The sequence below is a fragment of the Homo sapiens genome, chromosome 3, assembly GCF_000001405.40.
Source record: "Homo sapiens chromosome 3, GRCh38.p14 Primary Assembly".
In the NCBI taxonomy this organism is placed as follows: domain Eukaryota; kingdom Metazoa; phylum Chordata; class Mammalia; order Primates; family Hominidae; genus Homo; species Homo sapiens.
In genome coordinates this window covers 196638946-196663432 of record NC_000003.12, presented here as the reverse complement: position 1 = coordinate 196663432, position 24487 = coordinate 196638946, and the positions used below count along the sequence as shown (strand labels likewise).

Genomic DNA, 24487 nt, shown 5'->3' with positions numbered 1-24487 from the left:
GGGACTTGCCCGGAAGGCTTCAAGGCAACCTGAGAGACATCCACGACACTAGGCTGGGCGCAGTGCAGGAGGGAACGGTGGGGTCATAGCAAGGGCAAAGCCCAACAGGACCTGCCGCTAACGCTACTGAATGTGGGGCCTGAGATGGCAAAGCCTAACAGGACCTGCCGCTAACGCTACTGAATGTGGGGCCTGAGATGGCCTTGTTCAAACCTCTGTAGAGCATCCAAGGGAAGTTTCTGCTGTGTCAGAGTAAGACCACTGATTTTATCTCTTTGATTTGCCTAAATATTTCTGCTGACAGTTAGTCTGCATGGTAATAGCTATCAGTTTGTGGGATTTCTAGCCTCTCTCCCTCCCCATCCCTCCCCCATTGCGTTTAATTCCTTTATGATTTAGTAAGCAGGGATTAAAAACTTTGAGGACAGTGTAAATTCTAAACTACCAGAGGACGGGGGCTGTGTCCTTGTTATCTTTTCTCTCAGAGAGGAGCACAGACATTGTTCGTTAGTCATTGAACAGAGGGAGAAGGGAAGCTAAGAATCTAGTGAATACAGATACTGAACATCTGCTATGAAGTTGTAAGCAATTTTTTGTGAAGAGTTAGGAGGGTTCACAAGTGAGCAGAATTCATTCCTTTCTGCATTCCTCTTTACTTCCCTTCAGAACGAGGACTGTCTCTGGCAGTCGGCTTACTGACTGGATAAACTCGGGGCCAGTTATTATTCTCTTGGTTTCTCCATGGAAGAGTCATGTCTGTCTGCCAGAGACTCCGGGTATGAAGCCAGGGCACCTGGAGAGGGCCCAGCTAGAGGTCCATTATTTTATTTATTTGTTTATTTTTTGAGACGGGGTCTTGCTCCATCGCCCAGGCTGGGGTGCAGTGGTGTGATCTCGGTTCACTGCAACCTCCGCCTCCTGGGTTCAAGCAATTCTCCTGTCTCAGCCTCCCAAGTAGCTGGGATTACAGGCGCCCGCCACCACACCCGGCTAATTTCTGTATTTTTAGTAGAGACGGGGTTTCACCATGTTCGCCAAGCTGGTCTCGAACTCCTGACCTCAGGTGACCCGCCTCAGCCTCCCAAAGTGCTAGGATCACAGGACCGTTCTGACGGCGGTGGCCAGTCACGCAGCAGGTGAGAGGCCTCATCTTATGATCTTATGTCAGACCCTCCAGCTGTGCTTTGAAATGCTTTGTTGTCGTCGTCCTGCTATGAAATCCTTGTGTCGTCGTCCTGCTATGAAATCCTTGTCCCTGTTGAGTCCCCAGGGCACTGACTCACCATCTCTAGCACCTGCTCTTGGAGTTCTTTTTCCAGTAGGTTGCATTGAATTGCTACCCTCGGCTCCATGGATGTCACCAAGGGGAGGACACTACAAAATAATCCAAGGGAAACCAAGGAACAATAAAAAAAAACACAAGCTGCATTTAATTTAAAAAATATTTATGAGACACGTTGCCTTTTATTTCTGAAAAAGTCACTTAATAAATATTTTACCAAGATAATGAGGATGAATTATAATGATGGAAAAAGAACTTGGGCGGTGGTGGGGGCGGGGGTGGGGTGGGCGATGAGGAATGGAAACATATTAAATTTTAATTGAAACTTCAATTCGTCAGACTTGGCCTCTGCATCACATCTTGAAAGCTGGCAGAGAAAGTGTCCTGTTGTGTGCGGACCGAATTTCGAGTCTTGGCACACAGCCAGGTCAGTAAACGGAGGACCAGTGGCAGCGGCTCTTGATGACCTGAAGCAGAGGCTTCTTAAAAGTGAGGACGATGACAGTGCAGGCCACCAGCAGGGTGAGGCAGCTGGGGAGGATGAGCACGAGGTAGAGCAGGCCCAGGTCCAGCCGCTCCCACTTGCAGTCCCGAGGCACACCTCCGGGCAGCTCCGTCACGCGGATGATCTTGGAGGAGAGGTTGCAGGTGACCATGGCCCAGTCGGCCACCGTCTGCCCATGCTGCAGGGCCCCCCAGCCATCCACCCCACAGCAGTCATATGGATTCTGACTGAGGTAGATGGTCCGCAGACCTCTCGAGAGCTGCTCAGACACAGCCTTCTGGGGAAGGGCTGTGAGCGAGTTTCTACGGAGATCCAGGGTCTCCAGGGCCAGGCTGCCCCCAAACCTTGGGAAGGTGGTCAAGCAATTCCCCGACAGATCTAAGTCCCTGAGATTCCCAAACCCAGAGAAGTCCAACGCCATAAAGCTGGAGTGGAGGCCCATGTTCCTGAGAGACAGGACCTGTAACATGGGGGCAACATCCTGGAGTGGGGCGAGGCTCCCATTCAGAACCCCCCAGTTGCTTGAGAGGTCTAAGTAGGTCAGGGAGGTCCCTTGGAATGGGCAGTCTGGCAATGCCCCCAGGCCACAGCCCTCCAGAGACAGGCTCCTTAAAGATGCCATATTCCTGAAATCCACACAGCTAGGGGGGCCCACCCGGTCCGAGGCAGCTGGCAGGGGACAAAGTGAGATCTGATTGTGGCTCATGTCAAGTGTAGTGATGTTCCTAGCATTGGCGAAGAGGCCAGGGGGGACGCCCAGGAGCTGGTTGGAGCTCAGGTTGAACAAGCGCAGGCTGCCCAGGCAGCTGGCCAGCCCCGGAGCCAGGTGCAGCTCCGACAGCTGGTTGTGGCTCAGGTCCAGCTCGGTGAGCGCTCCGGGGGGCTCGTGCTCCCGAATGTGAAGCGTCATCAGGCAATTCTGGTGGAGGTTCAGGTGGGAGAGGGAAGGCATTTTCCTCAGGAAGCCGTCTGGCAGGTACTGGAACTGGTTCTGGCTCATGTCCAGGAAGCGGAGATCTGCGAGGTCGCTGGAGGAGAATTCTTCCCAGAGGCTGACGGTGGTGATGTTGGTCACGTTGCCGTCCACGAGGAGGAACTGGGCCACCATCTCCCTCGGCGACGAGGTGTTGTACAGGTCCCGGTAGAAGCCCATGTTGTTGTCGCGCAGCAGGAGGGTCCGCAACTTGCTGTACTGGGGCAGCAGCGGGAAGAACAGCAGCTGGTTGTGAGACAGGTCCAGCGTCTCCAGCTCGAAGGCAGCCTCTCCCCCGGTCGCGAGGAACCACTCCAGGACGTTGTAGCTGACGTTGAGGACCCGCAGCCGCGTGAGCCCGAAGTCCACGATGCAGGGGAGGTTGTTGAAGGCCAGGTTGAGGTGCCTCAGCTCAGCCAGGCCGTCGAAAGCGCCGCCCTCGATCTCGAAGATGTAGTTCCTCTGCAGATCCAGCTCCCGGAGACGCTCCAGGCCCTCGAAGACGGAGTCGTCCAGCCGCATGATGGTGTTCCCCGCCAGGGACACGGACCGCAGCGAGGAGAGGTTCTGGAGCATGAGGGCTGCCATGTCCTCCGTCAGGGCGTTTCCTGACAAGTCCAGCCTCCGCAGGCCCGGCAGGGCGTGGAGGGCGGCTGCCGTCTCTTCGTAGTTCTCTGAGAGGCAGTTGTCCCCCAGGACCAGGCTGCGCAGGTGACCTTGCTCCTGGAAGGCGCCGCGGCTGATGCGCTCCAGGTGGCAGCTGTGCAGGCTGAGGCTCTCCAGGAGAGGGTAAGGCTGGAGGGAGTGATTCCACAGGGTCTTGAGAGGGTTGGCATCCAGGGTGAGCATCCGGGCGTGGGGCGGGAGGCTGCTGGGCACCGAAGCGAGGCTCTGCCCTCGGCAGTCAGCGGCTCCACCCACCTGCGGCCAAAACCACACCGGTCAGCAGCGAGGAGGCCCAGAGGCAAGCATTTATGCATAGAAACTTAGTTCACTTATCAGACTGTCCCTGCAACCGCCGGGGATGGCTCTAGAGATGTTCATTTTAAAAATAGGATAGACAAGGCCGGGCACGGTGGTTCATGCCTGTAATCCCAGCACTTTGGGAGGCCGAGGCAGGTGGATCACTTGAGGTCAGGAGTTCAAAACCAGCCTGGCCAACATGGTGAGGTCCTGTCTCTACAGGAAATACAAAAAACTAGCCGGGTGTGGTGGTGGACACCTGTAATCCCAGCTACTCCGGAGGCTGAGGCAGAGAATTGCTTGAACCCAGGAGGCAGAGATTGCAGTGAGCCGAGACTGCACCACTGCACCACTGCACTCCAGCCTGGGCGACAGAGCAAGACTCCATCTCAAAAAAAAAAAAAAAAAAAAAAGGACTTGAGAGCTTTCACCATCCTGAATTGTACAGGGAAGTAAAGTGGGTCTGGAGGGGAGAAGTGAAGAGCCAGTGGCTGTGCCGGGACTGGAGCCCAGGGCTCTGAATGCCCAGTTCAGTGCTTTTCCTAAACAGGGCTCTACTCTGATCATGCAGAATAAGGAGGCGGGAGGGACGAGGCCACCCTGGTCGCACTGCAGAAAGCACACGTGCAGGATACTTTAATTCACCCCACGCTTTGCAAAATTGGCAAAAACAACCATCAGCCATAGGATGTTATTTAGGTGTCTAGGACAAAAATGGTTTTTTTGTTTTTTGTTTTTTTGAGATGAAGTCTTACCCTGTCACCCAGGCTGGAGTGCAATGGTGTGATCTCAGCTCACTGCAATCTCTGCCTCCTGGGTTCGAGCAATTCTCCTGTTTCAGCCTCCCGAGTAGCTGGGATTACAGGCACATGCCACCACGCCCAGCTAACTTTTTTTGTATTTTTAGTAGAGACGGGGTTTCACCATGTTGACCAGGCTGGTCTCGAACTCCTGACTTCAGGTGATCTGCCTGCCTCGGCCTCCCAAAAGTGCTGGGATTACAGGCGTGAGCCACCGTGCCCGGCCAGAAAGAAGTTTTAAGTGATAAGATAGAGGAGCAATGGCATTCGTTTGCACAAGTTTATCAGTAATACAAGGGCAGTGGTTGCCTACAATTGTGGGTTCAATCCCAGAGGGCAAGTGCAGCACGGCAACAGAAGAGGAAAATCCCGAGAGAGAGGTTAGAAGAAGCACAGGTTTGGAGGACAGACTCAATCTGAATCTCGGCTCTACCACCACTAGCAGTGGAATTTCTTGGCCCCTCGGGTTCTTTATCTGATAATTAAAATAAAACCTTCCAATAATTAAACATTGATACTGTATTGACATATGGAAACCTCAACTCTTCTGTCACCTCCGCCTCTCTCTCAGAGAAACACCAGTCACCTTCTGTTCCATGTCTTTCTGGATCTTTCGTAAGATATTACCTACCTTTGTCTAAAAAACAAAAATAAGACCATACTGTGCAAACTGTTCAGTAACCTATTTTTCTCCCCCTGTCAATAAAGTATGACGGACTTATTGCCTTGGCAGTACAAATAAATGTGATCATAATCTTTTTAGGAAGCATATGCATTCATCTCATGAATAGCACAGTGGCTGAGAGCAAGAGTTCCAGGGCCAATGCTTCGTGGCTCTGCTTTTGATCAAATGGGTGACCTTTGGATGGTTACGGAACCGAAAGAGACCTCCATTACCCTGCCTGTAAAACCGAAATTATACTCGTCATTTTCGCATAGCGTTTTTTTTCAGGATCAAGTGTGACTGTTGAGGTGAAACACATTTACTGTGCTTAATAAATGTGAGCTATAATTATTAGGATGATCTAATTAATCATCTCCTATTGTTGAGCATTTGGGTTTCTCTAATTTCCAGACGAACGTTAGAAAGGATTTGCCAAGTTCTTTCCACATCCCCCTTCCCTCTTTGGTATTTTGATTGGGATTGCATTATAATTACAAAGTACTCTGGAAGAGAATTTTTATCTTTTTTTTTTTTTTTTGAGACAGAGTCTCACTCTTGTCGTCCAGGCTGGAGTGCAATGGCGCCATCTCTGCTTGCTGCAACCTCTGCCTGCCGGGTTCAAGCGATTCTGCTGCCTTAGCCTCCCACGTAGCTGGGATTACAGACTCACACCACCACACCGGGCTAATTTTGTATTTTTAGTAGAGGCAGAGTTTTGCCATGTTGGCCACCCTGACCTCGGGTGATCCACCTGCCTTGGCCTCCCCAAGTGCTGGGATTACAGGTGTGAGCCACCGCGCCCGGCCAGGTGTGTGTCTTTATGTGAGTGGGTGTTGCGCTCCTCCCTGCGTGTGGACTCACTGGAGAATGTTGTGGTCAGGGGCTTTCTTCACGCTATGGGGTGCTGTTCCACCACAGCTGCTGCAGTCGTGGGTCACACCTCTGCAATTCCCTGTGGCCCCGCTGAAGTGATGTAGAAGGACCATATGGCCATCCCAGAAAAGCTTACCATGTCCACTTTCTTTTTCTTTTTTTTTTTTTTGATACGGAGTCTTGCTCTGTCGCCCAGGCTGGAGTGCAGTGGCGCGATCTCAGCTCACTGCAACCTCGGCCTCCCTGGTTCAAGCGATTCGCCTGCCTCAGCCTCCTGAGTAGCTGAGATCACAGGTGCCCGTCACCATGCCTGGCTAATTTTTGTATTTTTAGTAGAGACGGGCTTTCACCATGTTGGTCAGGCTGGTCTCAAACTCCTGACCTCAGGTGATCTGCCTGCTTCGGCCTCCCAAAGTGCTGAGATTACAGGCGGGAGCCACCGCACCTGGCCAACGTCCACTTTCTAATAAGGTCAAATGGATAATGTGATGAGGGCCAGTGGAGGGCACCCAGACTCTCCAATTCTCAGTCCTCAACTCGGAAGAGCCACAGGAAACCCACTCTTTGGGCTTCCTGGCAGCCAATTCTCTACTCCTGCCCACTGGGCCAGAAAGTGTCAAGCAGAGGGCCTTGCCTGAACTCTGAAAGGCTGTTCATTTATCTCTCCTCTTCCTGTGCCTGGTAACCCCTGAATAACTACTGTGTAGTTAATCCTTTATTGCCTCTGTAAGAGAATGCTGGAGGTCAAACATAGCAGAGATTAATAATAATATGAGTGATAACGGATAAAACGCGTAGCACTGACTACCTACCAGGCACTGTCCTGAGTGCTTTACATGTATTAACCCATTTAATCATCAGTCAACACAGCATGATGTTATTGGTAGATATTATTATTACGTATATATTCTACAGATGGAGAAACTATGACCTAGAGTGACCCCAATGTCACCAGCTAAGGGTGGGGCTGGGTTTAAACCAGGCCAGTCTAGCTTGTAACCTCTATGTCATATTGGAATAGACTCTAGCACAGTGGTTATAGGTTCCTACTAAAAGAGGTTAAAAACCATGACAGCTATGCTTTAAGAATACATACTTGAATGTAAGTGTTAGCCCTGACATCCAATTTGTCTTCCCAACGCCTAGTATATAATATGGCTCAAGAAATGTTTATTAAATATGTGTTTCATTTTTTTTTTCTTTTTTGAGATGGAGTATCACTCTGTCACCCAGGCTGGAGTGCAGTGGCACGATGTCAGCTCACTGCAACCTCTGCCTCCCAGGTTCAAGCAATCTTCCTCAGCCTCCCGAGTAGCTGGGACTACAAGCATGTGCCACCATGCCTGGGTAATTTTTGTATTTTTAGTAGAGACGGGTTTTTACTATGTTGGCCAGGCTGGTCTCGACCTCTTGACCTTGTGATCTGCCCGCCTCGGCCTCCCAAAGTGCTGGGATGACAGGCGTGAGCCATGCACCTGGCCTAAATATGTGTTTCTTGAGCAGACTTTTGATATCATTGTTATATAGATGAAGGGGAAAATTACTGGAAATTTCTCAGTTTGGACCCAAGTCTATTTTCACATCTAGGCTGAAAGCCCTAGAGGAGGCTTGGGTATCCACGCTCCGGGTCTTCTTAGCCTGAGCGTGGTCCGGGCTGCCGCTCTGCAGAGTGGCATGGCAGCAAGTCCTCCCCGCAGCTGTGTAAGCCTTAGCGGTCAACTCGTCCACAAACTCCGAGGCAGGCTTCTCCAGCTCTCAAGCACCTCACCCGGAGATTCTCATACCATCGGTGCAGCTCAGTCATCCAGTTTTTTGTTTTGTTTTGTTTTTTTCTTTTTTTGAGAGAGTCTCACTCTGTCGCCCAGGATGGAGTGCAGGGGTGTGATCTCGGCTCACTGCAACCTCCGTCTCCCGGGTTCAAGCGATTCTCCTCCTTCAGCTTCCCAAGTAGCTGGAATTACAGGCATGCACCACCACGCCCAGCTAATTTTTGTATTTTTAGTAGAGACGGGGTTTCACCATGTTGGCCAGGCTAGTCTCGAACTCCTGACCTCAGGTGATCCGCCGGACTTGGCCTCCCTAAGTACTGGGATGACAGGCGTGAGCCACCGCGCCTGGCTTTTTTTTTTTTTTTTTTAAAGACAAGGTCTGGCCCCATCACCTAGGTTGGAGTGCAGGGGCATGATCTCAGCTCACTGCAACCTCCACTTCCTGGGCTCAAGCCACCCTCACATCTCAGCCTCCCAAGTAGCTGGGACTATAGGTGTGTGCCACCGCACCTGACTGATTCTTGTATTTTGTAGAGATGTGGTTTCATCATGTTGCCCAGGCTAGTCTCCAACTCCTGGGCTCAAGTGATCTGCCTGCCTCGGCCTCCTAAAGTGCTGGGATTACAGGCCTGAGCCACTGCACCCGGCCTGAATCATCCAGATTTTTAACAAGTTGTTCTTGTTCCGGGAGGATGCCCTAGGCTGGTCTCGGATGCCTCCTATCCTCAGCAGGCGTGAGAACGGCGGGGCAGGGACTGCCTGGCTCTTCCCAGGAAGCATCTTAAAATCCTGTGGTTAAAGGGCAGCTGCACATGCCCCTGTGCTAGGCAGGCACAGAGTGATGCAGGCTCCTTCATTCTCTGCCCTTCCTGATGGACAATCTGTCAGCTTTCCAAATGGACCAAGCCTTGTCAGGACAGGAGCAGCCGACAGATCAGGGTTCAAGGGAAACTCACCAACTTGCAGACTCCTTGGGAGGCTGCTGTGGCTGTTCCGCTTCTGTTCCTCCAGCCCACGGTCAGGAAGTGAAAACCCAGGCAGAGCCAAAGAGGCAGCAACTCCATCTCAAGGGCAGCCCTGTGGACAGAGAGCAGGGAAGAGGTAAGTCAGAGAAGGACATCCCAGAGGGCTGTTTGTATTATCGGCAGAAGGAGCCAGTTCCAATTCTATGTGGTCTTGGAGCTCTGTGGAGCTCCATAGAGGTGCAGCCCACAGGATACTCAGATACCTCCATTTAGCCAAGACTTCCGGCCTTTCACTGAAACTGTTGACAAGAACTCAATTTCATTTTGCCTCTACCACTTGATGGACGGGTGGCTGAACACTAAACTTCAGCGAGTCCAGCACAGAAGGGAGAAGCAAAAAGCTTGAGTAACCAGGCCTCCAGTCACCTGGAGTTTCCCATATTTTGTAATTCTGCTGAAGTTTTCCTGCCTCCAGCTCCAATCGGTCTGATGCATCCCCTGAGCTCAGTAAGTACTTGCTGAGTGAATGAATGAACAACTGGAGAGTGGACGGAGACGGAAACACGGATGGGGGCCTCTGTCCCAGAGTTACTCCTCAGCTGCTGATGTGGGGCTGTTACAAAAGCGTTGATCTCTTTGGTTCACTCATTTGACTATGACCCTTTGAAAAAAGAGGTTTGATATTTTGCTTGGACGGGGGAAACACGGAGGGAAAATGAAGAAGCAATCTTTGGGTAGAATAAAGGTGGTTAACGAAACGTGGTTGCCAGCCCGCTTGCCTGGCCAGTGCACAGAGAACAGCAATAATGAGAAGGCTTGAAGGTATACACGCACCAGCAGAGATTCAGAACTAAGGGGAGCCATAAGGGAAATGCAATATACTCATCACATTTGCCAGGTGAACAAAGGCCCAGAGATACTACTCGAGGTTGTGGATGAACTTAGTGGCAGGGCTAAGAGCAGCCCCGCCTCGCTCCCCGAGCTCCGATGAGTGAGCAGGGCAGTTTCTCCCAGCAGCGAGGCTGCACTCACTGCTGCCCTGCTGGGGACCTGACGCCCAGTGCATGCCCCCAGCTCTGCATTCTGCAGACCCAGAGGCAAGAGCTGGCCCCAGCATTCCATCTGCCCATTCCTTGACACCTACCGGAGGCCCAGTGTCTGCCCTCCCATCTTCTCCTGGGCCAGCGGCACCAGCTCACCCCACCTGCTCGCTCCAGCCACTCAGGGGCCTCCTCTTTCCTTTCTTCAAATGCATTTAGGGATCTTGAAAGCTCATTTTACCTTCTTGATCAGATTTGAATGCTCACCAGTGCAAACAGACTAATTGAAGAGCTCAATGAAACCGGGTAAGCCAGCTTTCACTTCAGGCCAGGCCAACTCCCCTTACTACAGAGAGAACCTCCAATGCAGAATTTACCAGAACTTGCCAGACACTGGGAATCCCCTTCCAGACCCATTTCTGCCTCTGCACCCACACAGGAGTCATTGCCTTGTGGCCGGCACAGGGAAGAGAGGGCAGAAGCAGAGGTGTACGGGTTCCTGACCTCAGGATCCCCCCAGCACCCTTCCCCGCCCCTGAAACCTGGGATCACCACCACTGCCCGCCATGAAATAAGGCTGCATAGTTGCAGATTTAGTAAATTACAAGGCATCATTTCAATGCTAGATACATCCTTATACTAACAAATTGTTTATCTGACATTCAAACTTCACTGGGCATCCTGAATTTTACTGAGGGGAGATGGGGAGGTAAGAACCCTCCCTTCCTCCCTGGCCACCTCTTGTCAGGTGTGGGGTGGTACCTGCTGCTGTGACTCCAGTCTCTCTGGAAGAGCCAGCCCTGCGTATCGAAGAACTGAATCTAGACGTGTAAGGGGCAAGAGTGCAGGTCCCTCAGCGAAAAGGCAACCTTCAGACTGGAAGGCAAGCCAGGCCTTGTGTCACACTCAGGAGGGGCATTTTAATTTATGGGTCATCAAGAATTTTGCAAGTTTAAAACATATCCTCTCCTTCCTCCTAAACTCAGCCAACCAGCCCAGAAAAAAACTCTTGTTGTGGCCCTGGCAGGAAGCAGCAGGATATCATGGGAAGATCATGGAATTTGGAACCAAGCAGACCAGAGTTTGAATTCTGCCTCTGTTATTTGTTATTTGTCCTTTAGGAATTCAGACAAAGTCTCCAAGACTCAGAGAATCCGTCTACAAAATGGGAGTAATAATAACTATTCCAGAGTTGCATGAGAATAACCAGTCTCATGAATGTGAAAGGGCTTCATGGCTGTAAAGGTAGCAAGTAACACAATTATTAATTATTACTTGTGAGTTCCAAACACCAGTGAGTTGACTGAGTGCTGGTTATTCCTGTGTAATCTCCAAGGTAGTTCAACAGCTACACAAAGTCTAAAATAAAGGCCTGAGTAATGTGGCTGGAAGGATGAATTATACCAACTAGATATGTAAAACATATGCAGGAAGGTTCAATTAAAAACTCTGCATTCATAAATTGCAGAGCAAGGCTAGCCCTGAGCACAGATGACTATGCTGGCTGACAGCGGTTTGTCCCCAGAGCTGCGCCTTCCCCTTCCCTGCCCTCCTCAGTGTGGCAGGGCTCTGACTTCTGAAGGTTCTGAATCTCAAACTCTGCTGTCACCTGGCCTCAAACTGCTGTCACCTGTCACAAACTCTGCTGGTTTAGTCAATGGAAGACACTCCTCCTGGGAGGTCAGACAGTAGAGGGCAGAAAGAATCCAGCATACTTCTCTCCCTTCCTCTCTGCCTTGGACAGAGACATCCTAGAGTTTCTTCCGCTGACCCCTAGGCTCTGGTGACACCACCTCCTCCTCTTTGTTTTTGTTCGTTTTGTTTTGTTTTTTGAGACGGAGTTTTGCTCTTGTTGCCCAGGTTGGAGTACAATGTTGTGATCTCGCCTCACTGCAAACTCCACCTCCCGGGTTCAACAATTCTCCTGCCTCAGCCTCCCAAGTAGCTGGGATTACAGGTGCACGCCACCACGCCTGGCTAATTTTTGTATTTTTAGTAGAGATGAGGTTCCACCATGTTGGCCAGGCTGGTCTCAATCTCATGACCTCAGGTGATCTGCCCGCCTTGACCTCCCAAAGTGATGGGATTACAGGCGTGAGTCATGGTGCCTGGCCCACCTTCTCCTCTTGTCCTCACCCTACCTAGGTGAGGATAAGAAGCTTCCTGAAGCTGCTCGTCGCTGTGTTGACTGTTTATTTGCTTTCTCAGCCTTTTCCACCATGTGTTGCCACTTTCTTGCATTAAATATCCTCTGTCTTAAATAATCTGGGCAGTTTCCGTTTCCTGGTTGGACCCTGACTAATACAATCATGTGAGAATGGCCAAGACCCAGTGCTAAATTAAAAGTATGTAATGACTGTAAAGAAATAAAAGGCTTTCAAAATAGTGACCATTGAGGTTGAGAAACACTCTTCGTAGAGTGTGTAGCTGCAGAGAGCTTCCTCAGAGCCATGGCACTGCAAAGAGTCCAAGATAAACAATCCTCTTGCCATATCTCTCTGCAAAATCCCGTGACTCATCCCCTGCATGCACAGGACTGCTTCCTCTCCTCCCACATCCTCAGGGCTGAGGACCACGCCACAGCATCTGCAGCTGTAAGAGGGCATCTAAGCCAGAGTGTGCCCAGCATGCAGGAACAGGTGGAAAGCCCAGCCGCTTCCCGAGGGGCTGCCAGCTGGTGAGTGTTCCTGGGACCCTGAGCTGCCTGTTGCTCCTGTCTGGACAAGGTTTGGCCCATTTGGAACACTGCTGCATTCTAACTAGTTATCATGGAATGCTGTGAGTCTACTCCATAGCCAACCTTGTCTATGAAGATGTGGTGTTGCTTTTTAGGCAGAGAAGACAACGTGGTTTTCTGCCTCCAGACCTGGTCATAGTAAGAAAGTGGTAAAAAGATTCATTCATAAAAACAACATGAATGGAGGTTGTATTCTGCAACAAGAGAATGCTGACAGTGAGGAAGAAGAACGTACAGCCGCTGCAAAGAGTCTCCTTTGTTTTAGAAATTATGTTTGTTGCGAACAGGTGCGGTGGCTTACGCCTGTAATCCCAGCACTTTGGGAGGCCAAGGAGTGGGGGGTCACTGGGTCTCAGGAGTTCGAGACCAGCCTGAGCAAGGTGGCAAAACCCTGCCTCTCTAAAAAAAATACAAAAATGGCCGGGCGCAGTGGCTCACTCCTGTAATCCCAGCACTTTGGGAGGCCGAGGCAGGTGGATCACCTGAGGTCAGGAGTTTGAGACCAGCCTGGCCAACCTGGTGAAACCCTGTCTCTACTAAAAATACAAAAATTAGCTGGGCGTGGTGGCGGATGCCTGTAATCCCAGCTACTCGGGAGGCTGAGGCAGGACAATCGAACCTGGGAGGTGGAGGCTGCAGTGAGCAGAGATCTCGCTATTGCACTCCAACCTGGGCAGCAGAGCGAGACTCTGTCTCTAAAAAAAGAAATGCTACAGAGTAGCTCAGATCTGAATTTTGCTATTGTTTTGTTTTTAGAAAAGGATGCTGGATTTCTACTATTCAGGTGCACGCTGGATATCTGAATTGTTATCCCGGCCAGAGTGACGGCCTCTCCTTGTTGGAGCTGCTCGGACACCTTACCGTCCCCACCCCCACCTCCCCTGACTGCTACTACGTGAGCAGCTGCTGCCAGAGCTGGGACCGGACCCTCTCCGCTAAAGGGGCTCTGAGCAAGTGCCATACGTATGTTACCACGTAGTTAAGAATTTTCTCCTCAAAGTAATCAGAGAAGCTGAAAAAGCTTTACGGAAAGAGGTCTCCTGGAGAAAGTGGGCAGCTCTCGGGGCACTCTGTGCTAGAAACAAATATTTTGGCCGGGCGCAGTGGCTCACGCCTGTAATCCCAGCACTTTGGGAGGCCGAGGCGGGTGATCACGAGGTCAGGAGATCGAGACCATCCTGGCTAACACAGTGAAACCCCGTCTCTACTAAAAATACAAAAAATTAGCCGGGCGCGGTGGCGGGCGCCTGTAGTCCCAGCTACTCGGGAGGCTGAGGCAGGAGAATGGCGTGAACCCGGGAGGTGGAGCTTGCAGTGAGCCGAGATCACGCCACTGCACTCCAGCCTGGGCGACAGAGCGAGACTCCGTCTCAAAAAAAAAAGAGAGAAACAAATATTTCTCCCTGGGTCTGGGGGAGGGCTCTCCAGAGGCAGAGTGCGCACAGGTGCAGTGGTAAATGTGTGACAGTGACACTCATGGACACACAAGGGCACACGGTGCCGGATGGAGGCCTCCACAAGAAAGGGAGTCTGCCTTTGACTGCAAGAAAAAGAGCAATTGCACCTGGGATCTGGGAGAATGGGAAGGGCAGCTGGTCACAGACCACTGAGAACAGATGATACAGAACAAAACCAACCCCCAGTCTGTGACCATTTCCAACAGTCCCTTCTCCAGGAAGCACTGGGAAGTCTCAAGCAAGCAGCTCTGGTCCCTCTGATTCTTAGCAAAACATTAGGATGACCTCAACTTTCACCAAATGTCCAAACTCAACACCCCCGTGGTGAGAGCTCCTGCCATTCTGAGCCTCTGAGTGTGATGACTTAGGAAACAGGGTACTGTCCTGGTGGAACGCCTGCCAGAAACACTTGCCCTGAATCCAGTCATGAGGAAAGCCTCTGACAGATCTGGGCTGTAAGACGTCCTGCAAGGTAACTGGCCTGGACTTCTCAAGAGTCAGTCTTGAAAATCAAAGAAAGGCTGGAGTGGGGCTGGGGGTGTCTGTTCTAGATTACAAGTGACTAAGAAGCATTTAACCAAGTGCAGTGAATGAACCTTGAGTGGATGTTGGAATTTTTTTTTTTTTTTTTTTTTTTTGAGATGGAGTTTCACTCTTGTTGCCCAGGCTGGAGTGCAATGGCATAATCTCGGCTCATTGCAACCTCCGCCTCCCGGGTTCAAGTGATTCTCCTGCCTCAGCCTCCTGAGTAGCTGGGATTACAGGCATGCACCAGCATGCCTGGCTAATTTTGTATTTTTAGTAGAGATGGGGTTTTTCCATTTTGGTCAGGCTGGTCTTGAACTCCCGACCTCAGGTGATCCACCCAACTCAGCCTCCCAAAATGCTGGGATTACAGTCGTGAGCCACTGAGCTTGGCCGGATGTTGGATTTTAAAGAATCTCTAACAGAAAAGTATGAGACAATTGGGGAAATTTAAATAGGCACTAAGTGATGAGTTTTCAGATGCACAGATGATATGAGGTCTGCAGGTCGGATAACAAGCCTGTGGTTATGTAAGACATCGCCTCTATTGTTAGGAAATGCATGCTGAAGCACTTACAGGGAACTTTCATGATGTCCGTAATTTATGTAAACTACCTTCAAATGGCTCAATAGAGACAGTAAAGCAAAATATTACTACTCGGTAAATTTAGTATTGTACTTTCTTGTAAACTTTTCTGTAAGTTTTAAAGTACTCACATTTAAAAATGAGGAAAATGAAATAAGTGTTCCTGAAAAGAGATGTTAAATTATGGTAATCTCTGTCCCCATATTTCCAGGAATCATTAACATACCTTTTTCAAACACTCTTCTCAGAAAGGTGCTCAGGAAACATTTGTTATGTTAAAAATGGAAATACAGGCTGGGCACAGTGGCTCACACCTGCAATCCCAGCACTTTGGGAGTCCGAGGTGGGTGGATCACCTGAGATCAGGGGTTCGAGACCAGCCTGGCCAACATAGAGAAACCCCGTCTCTACTAAAAATACAAAAATTAGCCAGGTGGCTGGGCGCAGTGGCTCACGCTTGTAATCCCAGCACTTTGGGAGGCCAAGGCCAGCAGATCACCTGAGGTCAGGAATTTGAGACCAGCCTGACCAACATGGTGAAACCCCGTCTCTACTAAAAATACAAAAATTAGCCGAGCATAGTGGCAGGCACCTGTAATTCCAGCTACTCGGGAGGCTGAGCCAAGAGTGTCATTTGAACCTGGGAGGCAGAGGTTGCAGTGAGCCGAGATCATGCCATTGCACTCCAGCCTGGACAACGAAGTGGGACTCTGTCTCAAAAAATAAGCAAAAAGCAAAGAACCGATTGTGATCTTTGGTAAATTAACACATTCCTATATTTTGAAAAAGTAAATATTCAAATGGTGGATGCATTAACAAGAACTTGAAATTGAGGATTAGAACAACAAACATTTAGAATTGTGATGTGTGAATTCAGAGCTTGTGATTTGCTTCTCTAGCTTTCTCTTAATAATGAATTTGTCAAAATATAGACAATACAATTGTTTTGACTTCTCCCCCCCTAAGAACTGTCTCACACCCTGCAGGTAGAACAGAAAATTGGCACACTTTTTCTGAAGAACAATTTAGCCAATTTATCAAAGACCTTGAAAGTCTGGATTCTTTTTGATTCAATGACTCAAGTTCTAGGAATTTATCCTAAGGAAATACAATGTACATAAAAATATTTTAAAAGAAATATTCATTGTAACATTAGTAAGAATAATAAAAAAGTGGAAACCATCAAAAGTCCAATAATGGAAGCACTGGCTAAATAAGTTATGGTAAAACTACATGATAGGAATGACGTGGTATGATAAAAAAATGCTTTGGTAGCAATATATTGATTGACGCAGAAAGACGTTCATAATAAAATAATATCAAGGAAAGGAAAGTGTAAAGCAGAATGTGTAGTATAATCCCCAAGTTTGCTAAAAGAATATGCAGGCCAGAGAGGTGAAAAGAGAGGCACGCGGCGGCTCGGCGAAGGCAGTGCCATGGTTCCCAGCACTGGTTCAACTCAGATCTCCGGTTCCCACCCGGTTCTCCGGTTCTCTGGTCAGCCTGCGCTGTACCGGGGCTCGTGGCGAGAGACTCTCTGGGAATGGATGAGGCTCTGCCTCCATCGGGGGGGGATTCAGAGGCCCCAGCAACCCTTCTTCCCCTGGGCCCTTCCCACAGCGACTCCAGACAGCCAGTGTGAGGAGCCCGCTTTGAGCACCTCCCTGCTCAGCCCTCACTTCCTTAGGGCCACGAATAAGCCAACTGGCTTCCCTACGTGGTCAGCGTCGGCCTGGTAGAGCCATCAGAGGTCAGCCCACCTCGTCCTGTTCCATGCCCACAGGCTGCCATCTGGCCACAGGTCTTAATAAATGCAAACCTGCTCCCACTGGGAGGTGACACCTCGCCCTTGCATGCTGGTGGTGGCTGGTGGTAGGTCCTCGGTGTCACCTTTCTATAGGAGAGACCCACATAATCTCTGCTGATAGGCGCTCAACCGCATAACGCATTAGCATCTGATTTCCCTTCAGTATCACAAGTTTGTTCCCTCTGGTCACTTCTGAGGGAGTGGCTACCTGCCACCGCCCTTCTCGATAAGAAGGAGCAGGTGGGACCTGTGTAGAGGAAGGGACCCTGGGCTGGGGAAGGAGGCCTGGGCCCAAGCCTGGCTCCTTCACTCTGGTGGTGACCACGGAGGACAGCACTTGCCTTGATGGCCTCACAGGGTTGTGTCGAGACTGAATGGGACAGTGTGTGTGAAAAGGCTTTGTCGATGTAAGGGAATGTTCGGACTTCACGTTTAGTGGGCGGGGGACCCCACCAAGCCTTCCAAGGCCTGCAGGAGGACACGCCCCCACTGGAGGGGGACAGACGCTTTCCATAGTGAGACAAAGAGGTGTATTAATCAAAGGGAAAGCAGAGTTCCTCTGTGCAAACAGCAAGCTGGTGTTGAGGGAAATACAGTGAAGGAGAAGGAGCTTTCGTCCCTTCTCCCACCCCTGGGAGCTGCAGCGTGTGGACCCTGGGATGTCCAGGGGAGAAGCGAGCACCCAGGGTCCACGGTAGACTGTGGGCAGGGGTTTTTTATGGGTGATGACAGCGGCTTAGTGGCCCCAGTGGGAAAACAATGAAAATATATCCCCCCACCCCGACTACTTGGTTTCCTTGAGAAAGTGTACGATTGAAGAACGAAAGCATATGGATTCCTGACAAGAGGCCGATTCAAAGGTCAATTCAGTGGTGTTCGAGGTCTGCATAATCACTCCCAGATTCTGTCCGGGCTCTTCACTGTGACAGCTCATGCTTACTGAGTGCTCACCTTGGAACACGGGCTATACCGGGTACTTTACATATAATTCCCACAAAAATCCTAGCAGGTAAATGTTGTCATCTCCATTTCACACTTGGTCAATGGCGGCTCACATAGGTTTAGGCTGTACAGCTAGAGAATGTTAGAGCCACAATTCAAACCCAGGTCTGTGACTTCTGCATCAGCTCAACCTCAATACCACAAGCCCCAGCCACCCTGGGATGCCTGCGACCCTTGACTAAATCACGCATGCCCACACGCTCTGTCCTCTGTGGGAAAGGCTCTTTTGCTGGTCTTGTTCACCTGCAAAGCTCTTACTCATCCTGCAGGCTCAGTGCTGGTATCACCTCCTCATCACAAGCTAAAAGTTGAGTGGAGCAATAACCCAGTAATTCATATGGCAGTGTATTATAGGTAGCTACATTTCCTATGGAAGTTTTCTAATTTCTTATTATTTGATTTTTATGATCATGACAAGGAATGTGAACAGTTACTAGGTACTGTTAGTCATTTAACTTTTCCCCAACAACATACATCTATCCATCTATCTATCCTTCTGTCCATCTTTCTTTCTCCTTTTTTTTTAGAGGTCTTGCTATGTTGCCCAGGCTGGAGTGCAGTAGTTATTCACAGATGGGATTGTAGCACACTACAGCCTCAAGCTCCCAGCCTCAAGTAGTCCTCCCACCTAGGGCTACCGAGTAGCTGGGGCTACAGGCACACAGCACCACCCATGCCACCTTTCTTTCTTTCTTTTTTTTTTTTTTTTTTTTTTGACAGAGTCTCACTCTGTCGCCAGACTGGAGTGCAATGGTGCGATCTCTGCTCGCTGAGATCTCTGCCTCCGGGGTTCAAGAGATTCTCCTGCCTCAGCCTCCCAAGTAGCTGGGATCACAGGCACCAGATCACTACAGATCACCATCACACCCGGGTAATTTTTGTATTTTTAATAGAGATGGGGTTTCACCATGTTGGCCAGACTGGTCTCAAACTCCCGCCCTGGCCTCCCAAAGTGCTGGGATTACAGGTGTGAGCCACTGCACCCAGCCTGATCGTGCATTTCAAAGTACATTGCAGTCATTGATATACTTTCCTTTAAATATTTCAGAATGCATATCAAGTGATTTAACTTTTTTTTTTTTTTTTGAGACGGGGTCTCACTCTGTTACCCAGGCTAGAGTGCAGCGGCGTGACCTTGGCTCACTGCAACCTCCGCCTCCAGGGTACAAGCAATTCTCCTGCCTCAGCCTCCCAAGTAGCTGTGCCATGCGGTGCCTGATATTCTGAACAGCACCCCTGAGTGTATCATGGGACCATGGCCTTCTGTGGAGACAAAGCAAGACGGGGGCTGTCAGAGGCCTTCAAAATGGCTCTAACCTTCTCTAGCCAGAGAGCCTAGAAGAAAACTGGGGATTTGGAAGGAGATGAGAAGCTGAATGGAAGCATCAGTTTAAGGACCTGAGGAAGGGCCCAATAACCTAGAACAAGAGAACGGCCGAGGCCCATGAGGAGGTCTCAGGGTGTCAGGCTGGCTGGTGACAGGGAGACCGCTAACTTGCTGAAGTTGAAGGAGGTGGTCCAGGGCCAGGCAGGGAAAGCCCTGCTCCCCACTGAGCCTGCAGGGCCAAGGGAAAAGGCTCAGCCTTGGTGTCTGACGACCACAGAGGGGAGACACTGCAGGGCCGAGGGAAAGGGCTCAGCCTTGGTGCCTGAGGACCACAGAGGGGAGACACTGCAAGGGTAGAAGAGACCTCAGGGATCAGGGCTGGAGCAGGAGAGGAGTGAATGACAGTAGGGAGGATCAGCAGGAGTCCATGTCCAGTTGACATCTGAAATGGAGTGACATGAGCTTAGGAGAACACGATGTGTACCCATGGGTGGGCCCCTGCCAGGCACTGTGGGTGTGGGGTTGCCTTAGACACTTAGGTCCTGCTTGAGAACAGACAGGTGAAAAGACGGAGCGTTATGTGCTCTCTCTCCTGGGAGAAATCCCCTCCCGGTCCTTCTCTTTCTTGGAGGTGGCAGCAGAAAGTTGCTTGGTGCACATGGCGCAGCACCTGCCTTAGGCAACCTTTTGGGTTGGGGCTGGAGGAGGGGAGTCCCTGTGACCTCACCAGGCTTTGTGGCCACATTGAGCCTATCCAGTACCAGCCTGCTCCTCGCGCCCACCTCGTGGGTGAGGACCATGACGAGGTTCCACTTCCTCCTTTCTTCACTCTGTTCACTCTGAAATCCCTCAGGCATTAAAGTGAGAAAAGACACATTGGCTTGGGGTCAGCACCTGACTCCGTTCGCTCTGGAAATTGGTTGGTTTCGCCTACTCACTCACATTCGTTTCTCCTTCTGGTAACAACCCCTCAATTCCCCTTTGAGAAAATCACCCCCTTTCTTTCCTTTTTTTCTTTAGAAAATGTTTAATTGTAGTAAAATACACAAAACATGAAAGCGATTATCTTTTTTTTTTTTTTTTTGAGACAGAATTTTGCTCTTGTGGCTCAGGCTGGAGTGCAATGGCACAATCATCTCGGCTCACTGCAACCTCCGCCTCCAAGGTTCAAGCGACTCTCCTGCCTCAGCCTCCTGAGTAGCTGGGATTACAGGGACTCACCACCACACCCAGCTAATTTTTGTATTTTTAGTAGTGACGGGGTTTCACCATTTTGGCCAGGCTGGTCTCAAACTCCTGACCTCCTGATCCACCCGCCTCGGCCTCCCAAAGTGCTGGGATTACAGGGATGAGCCACCGCGCCCGGCCGAAAGTGACCATCTTAACCATTTTTAGGTGTACAATTCAGTAGTGTTAAGTACCCTTACGCGGCTGTGCAACCAACCCCCTTCCTTTCTTCAAAAGTCTGTGTGTTCGGGTCTGATCCCAGCTCCTGGTTCCAGGGCGGGGCCTATGAGTAAGGCTGGGCCCGTGAGAGCACTCCATTTTCCTAACAGGCTCATCATAAAAGCCAAGCCCATGAGAATCAATCCACGGGCAGTTGCTAGAACTCATGGAAAGGAGACTTGCTCTTTCTGTTTCAGATGCCAAACCAGTAGGAATATAGTTGGAGCTGCAGGCAGCCATCTTTGCCACCAGCTCCGGGACTTGCCTGGTAAAGAGGCCCACAGAGAGGAAGGCAAAGCTGAGGAAAGGAGACAGATGGATTCCTGGCAATGCCATTTGAGCATCTGGACTCAGCCATGCCTGAAACTATTGCCCATACACTTTTCAGTTATTTGAAACAATAAATCCTTTTTTTTTTTCTTTTTTGCCGAAGCATATTTACGTTGGTTTTTTGTCATTTGCTACCAAACCAATCTATCTAAGAATCTGATTCTTGAACTCGGGTTTATTGTTGCACGTGAGGCTTATAAGAGCTAAGATCCAAGCACTGATGTCCTTTTTCCTTCACGTCTCTGAGCTTTCAGAAATCATCACCTAACCTAGCCCTGAGCCCCATCACAGAATGACCACATGACATTTGCTTCATGATGAAGTTGAGAAAAATGGTTTGGGAGGAAAGTGAGTATAATAAAGAAGTTCCACCAAAGGCAAAAACATGACAAATGTTTGTCACTGATGTGCGATGACACATCAACAAGCATCAGTGAGCACAGACATCTGTAAGTGTGTCATACACACAGCATGTCCTAAGAAAGACAGTGTTTTCAGTCGTGGTTGAAAGTCCACCCTCTCCTGACTTCTGAGGCTCTAAAATGGATCTGCGCCTGATGTGAGGGACAGTCATTGTCCATACGAGAGTCTGGTGCACACTGTGCAGTGTGGACGCACACCGCAGCCAGAATGCAGGTTGTCATCAGTACTAGCATCTCTCTTCCAAAAGAGTCAAGACTGGAGACAGACAGGTCAATGTACTCTTAATGCACACCCCAGAACAAAGATACTAGGCGTCTGCTCTCTGTTTTGGAGTCTACCAGGTATGTCTCATCATCAAAGAGCAGGAACTCTTGGATGATGAATTTAAAAACTATAAGAGAATGTGTTTTCATGAAGTTCCCATGAGGGCACTCATTACATGAAAGCTGGGGGCGGTGACTCACGCCCACACTCCCAGCACTTTGGGAGGCCAAGGCAGGAGGATTGCTTGAGCCCAGGAGTTTGAGACCAGCCTGGGCAACACAGCAAGATCCTGTGTCTACAAAAAAATTTTAAAAATTAGCTGGCATGGTGGTGTGCACCTGTTGTCCTAGCTCCTCAGGTGACTGAAGCAGGAGCATTATTTGAGCCCAAGAGTTTGAGGCTGCAGTGATCTGTGATCGTGCCACAGAACTCCAGTCTGGGCAACAGAGCAAGAGCCTGTCTCTAAAAATAAATAAATAAATATATATATTTTTAAAAAGTGCCTTCTTTGTGAAGCTGAGTTTGTTTTGTTTTGTTTTGTTTTGTTTTGTTTTTTTAACCTAAAGGCAGGAGTTAAGGTTTTTTCCTGGGCCCATGATTCTATAATCTCCTTTAGGGACTCTCGGGCACACACACACAAACCTAAGAGGTGTGTGAGGAGAATAAATACGTATTGTAAATGTAAAGCCCAGCAAACCCTCAGCATCCACAGAACAGTCTGTGTGTCACAGCCGGCAGGTGAGGAGCACACAGGAAAGCATGGAGGGCCACAGACGCTGAATGTTTCTAGCACCCAGACTCCTAACGGGCTGTGCCCATCATGAAGAAGCCTCCGGTGGGGTCCCCTCAGCCCCTAGGGAAGCACAGCAGCCCCGACCAGCCCTGTCCGGAGAGGCTCCATTCCTAGGACCCCCGATCCGGCCTCCTCCAGTCGCAGCCACCAACTGGCACGTGTCCACCTTCTCTCAGAGGCAGCACAAAGCCACACCAGTGGCTCCTTACTTCTTTCCGTCTAGCTCCTGGGTACGTGGGGAAGTACGCTGACCCCTTCAGAAGCCGGCCCACATGCAGGGGCCACGAGGGCTACGGAAGAGCGTCCGAGTCTTCGTCGCCCTCCTGTTAGTCTCCCTCTGATAAGCCATGGATCTAAGTCTAGGCTAAGATCCAAGTCACAGAGCCCCAGTGAATCTCCCAAGGACAAACGTTCTGTGGGAGAAGGGGCTTTGCACATTTTCACAGCTGTATCCCCAGGGCCTTGGACAGGCCTGGCACGTGGACGGCATCTGTGATAGGTGTTGCTGTTAACCAGTCTTAGTGTCTTCATCTATGAGATAGTGGTTCTCAATCCACGTTGTGGGACAGGAAAGGAGAGCCCAGTGCTCAGCATGCTGAGTGTGCACAGAGCGGTCTCATCATATCCAGTCGCCCAGCCCAGGGAGGGAGCATCTCTGTTCCCATTTTGCAGATGAGAAAACTGAGGCTCAGAAACCTTAACTGTCTGCTCACATGCTCCCTGCAGAGCCAGGACTCAAACCCACGTCTGAATCTGAAGCCCTCGTGGTTTCCACTACGTCGCACCACCTTTCTCAGCTCTAAGTGCTCCTGGAGGGAGGTATTTCCACCTCCACCCAGAGCTGCAGCCCCCACGCCCAGCACAAAAGCGGCGGCGCTTGGACGCAGCAAGCCACAGCTTCCTCGTGAGCCCTGAGCTGCGGGCCGCGGACGCTGACCTCCTACCACCCAACCTCGCTCGAGCTCGCCCACCTGGAGAAGGGCCCCGGCTGTGCCCCGGGGACGCCCCCACGCGGGAAATACTCACGGCTCCCGCAGGCGCAGGCGGCTGCGCGGGGCGCATCGTCTCCGGGGGCTCCGGCCTCCTCGAGAGCAGCCGAACGCGGGGCTGGGCTACCTCCTTGCTGTGGGGCATCAGATTATTTTAGCACCAGCGGAAGGAACGGACGGAAACTGAAGTCACATGGAGAGCGGGCTGCTCGGCGACTCAGCACAGGCTCACTCAGACCCGGCCTCTTAGAGGGAAGCGCGGCGCGGGCGCGGGGGTGGGGCGGGCCGGGGGAGCGGGGCCCGAACACCTGCCGGCCTAGCGGCCGAGCAGCGGGGATGTTTAGACGATCTTCCAGCAATGCGACCGAGGCTCCCCCGGCTTTCTTGCGTTGGTGCCTTGGCAGGGCTGGGGGCGGCCAGCTAGGGGCCCCTTGCCTATGAGGTCTGCTGACCCAGAAACTTTGCTACGAGCTTCCAGCCAAGGACCAAGCTGAGGCCGACTTTGGGAACGGCAGCACCGTGGTAAAGAGGCACAGCCTGTCGTCTGGCAGGGTCAGCCGCTCAGCCAGTCTGTCTTCTTATCCACTCAGCCGGTCCTTGTGGATCATCTCCTTTACGGACCCTGTGTTAGAAAGAAGGGGAATTGCTTTGTCGAGGACTGTCAGAGAGTGCCAAGAGCTTCTTGATCTTAGACTGCGCGGATGGGTTTTTTTGTACCTGATGTGTACAAAGTTCCCTGCCAGCTCTTGCCAAGAATTCAAAGGAGTAAGAATAATTGATCATATAGCCATCATTGAAGCAGCGCCAGACACTGTGCTAAGAGCTTCATATGCATTACCCCAGCGCTCCTGTTCTCGAGGAACTACTGTCGTCTAGAGAAGGTGAAATATTTACAGTGCCTGCTGCGTGTGGAGTGACGTGGACCACCATAGTCGGGGGCTCAGACAAGGGGCCTCCAGTTCTGATC

General features: G+C 50.7%; 1 protein-coding gene across 1 annotated transcript, besides 10 other annotated features; it reads right to left on the bottom strand.

The window, feature by feature from the left end:
• Positions 1-1428: 1428 nt before the first annotated feature.
• Positions 1429-23739, bottom strand: NRROS (negative regulator of reactive oxygen species). Its single transcript, NM_198565.3, has 3 exons — positions 23558-23739; positions 8786-8906; positions 1429-3681 (listed from the first exon to the last, which is right to left on the bottom strand). The coding sequence occupies exons 2-3, from the start codon at positions 8891-8893 to the stop codon at positions 1711-1713; spliced, it is 2079 nt and encodes a 692-aa protein (NP_940967.1). The 5' UTR covers positions 8894-8906; positions 23558-23739; the 3' UTR covers positions 1429-1710.
• Positions 3184-3759: an enhancer, noted in NCBI's record as "H3K27ac-H3K4me1 hESC enhancer chr3:196386545-196387120 (GRCh37/hg19 assembly coordinates)". NCBI's record gives its function as "activates a minimal SCP1, AML or CMV promoter by ChIP-STARR-seq in naive and primed H9 embryonic stem cells {active_cell/tissue: H9 hESC(naive and primed)}" and the evidence as "EXISTENCE:reporter gene assay evidence [ECO:0000049][PMID:30033119]".
• Positions 11916-12681: an enhancer, noted in NCBI's record as "H3K27ac-H3K4me1 hESC enhancer chr3:196377623-196378388 (GRCh37/hg19 assembly coordinates)". NCBI's record gives its function as "activates a minimal SCP1, AML or CMV promoter by ChIP-STARR-seq in naive H9 embryonic stem cells {active_cell/tissue: H9 hESC(naive)}" and the evidence as "EXISTENCE:reporter gene assay evidence [ECO:0000049][PMID:30033119]".
• Positions 14980-15745: an enhancer, noted in NCBI's record as "OCT4-NANOG-H3K27ac hESC enhancer chr3:196374559-196375324 (GRCh37/hg19 assembly coordinates)". NCBI's record gives its function as "activates a minimal SCP1, AML or CMV promoter by ChIP-STARR-seq in naive H9 embryonic stem cells {active_cell/tissue: H9 hESC(naive)}" and the evidence as "EXISTENCE:reporter gene assay evidence [ECO:0000049][PMID:30033119]".
• Positions 19521-19760: an enhancer, noted in NCBI's record as "active region_21101". NCBI's record gives its function as "activates an Ori minimal core promoter by ATAC-STARR-seq in GM12878 lymphoblastoid cells {active_cell/tissue: GM12878}" and the evidence as "EXISTENCE:reporter gene assay evidence [ECO:0000049][PMID:35858748]".
• Positions 19891-19940: an enhancer, noted in NCBI's record as "active region_21100". NCBI's record gives its function as "activates an Ori minimal core promoter by ATAC-STARR-seq in GM12878 lymphoblastoid cells {active_cell/tissue: GM12878}" and the evidence as "EXISTENCE:reporter gene assay evidence [ECO:0000049][PMID:35858748]".
• Positions 21385-21444: an enhancer, noted in NCBI's record as "active region_21099". NCBI's record gives its function as "activates an Ori minimal core promoter by ATAC-STARR-seq in GM12878 lymphoblastoid cells {active_cell/tissue: GM12878}" and the evidence as "EXISTENCE:reporter gene assay evidence [ECO:0000049][PMID:35858748]".
• Positions 21465-21814: an enhancer, noted in NCBI's record as "active region_21098". NCBI's record gives its function as "activates an Ori minimal core promoter by ATAC-STARR-seq in GM12878 lymphoblastoid cells {active_cell/tissue: GM12878}" and the evidence as "EXISTENCE:reporter gene assay evidence [ECO:0000049][PMID:35858748]".
• Positions 22983-23102: an enhancer, noted in NCBI's record as "active region_21097". NCBI's record gives its function as "activates an Ori minimal core promoter by ATAC-STARR-seq in GM12878 lymphoblastoid cells {active_cell/tissue: GM12878}" and the evidence as "EXISTENCE:reporter gene assay evidence [ECO:0000049][PMID:35858748]".
• Positions 23553-23652: a silencer, noted in NCBI's record as "silent region_15070". NCBI's record gives its function as "represses an Ori minimal core promoter by ATAC-STARR-seq in GM12878 lymphoblastoid cells {active_cell/tissue: GM12878}" and the evidence as "EXISTENCE:reporter gene assay evidence [ECO:0000049][PMID:35858748]".
• Positions 23673-24102: a silencer, noted in NCBI's record as "silent region_15069". NCBI's record gives its function as "represses an Ori minimal core promoter by ATAC-STARR-seq in GM12878 lymphoblastoid cells {active_cell/tissue: GM12878}" and the evidence as "EXISTENCE:reporter gene assay evidence [ECO:0000049][PMID:35858748]".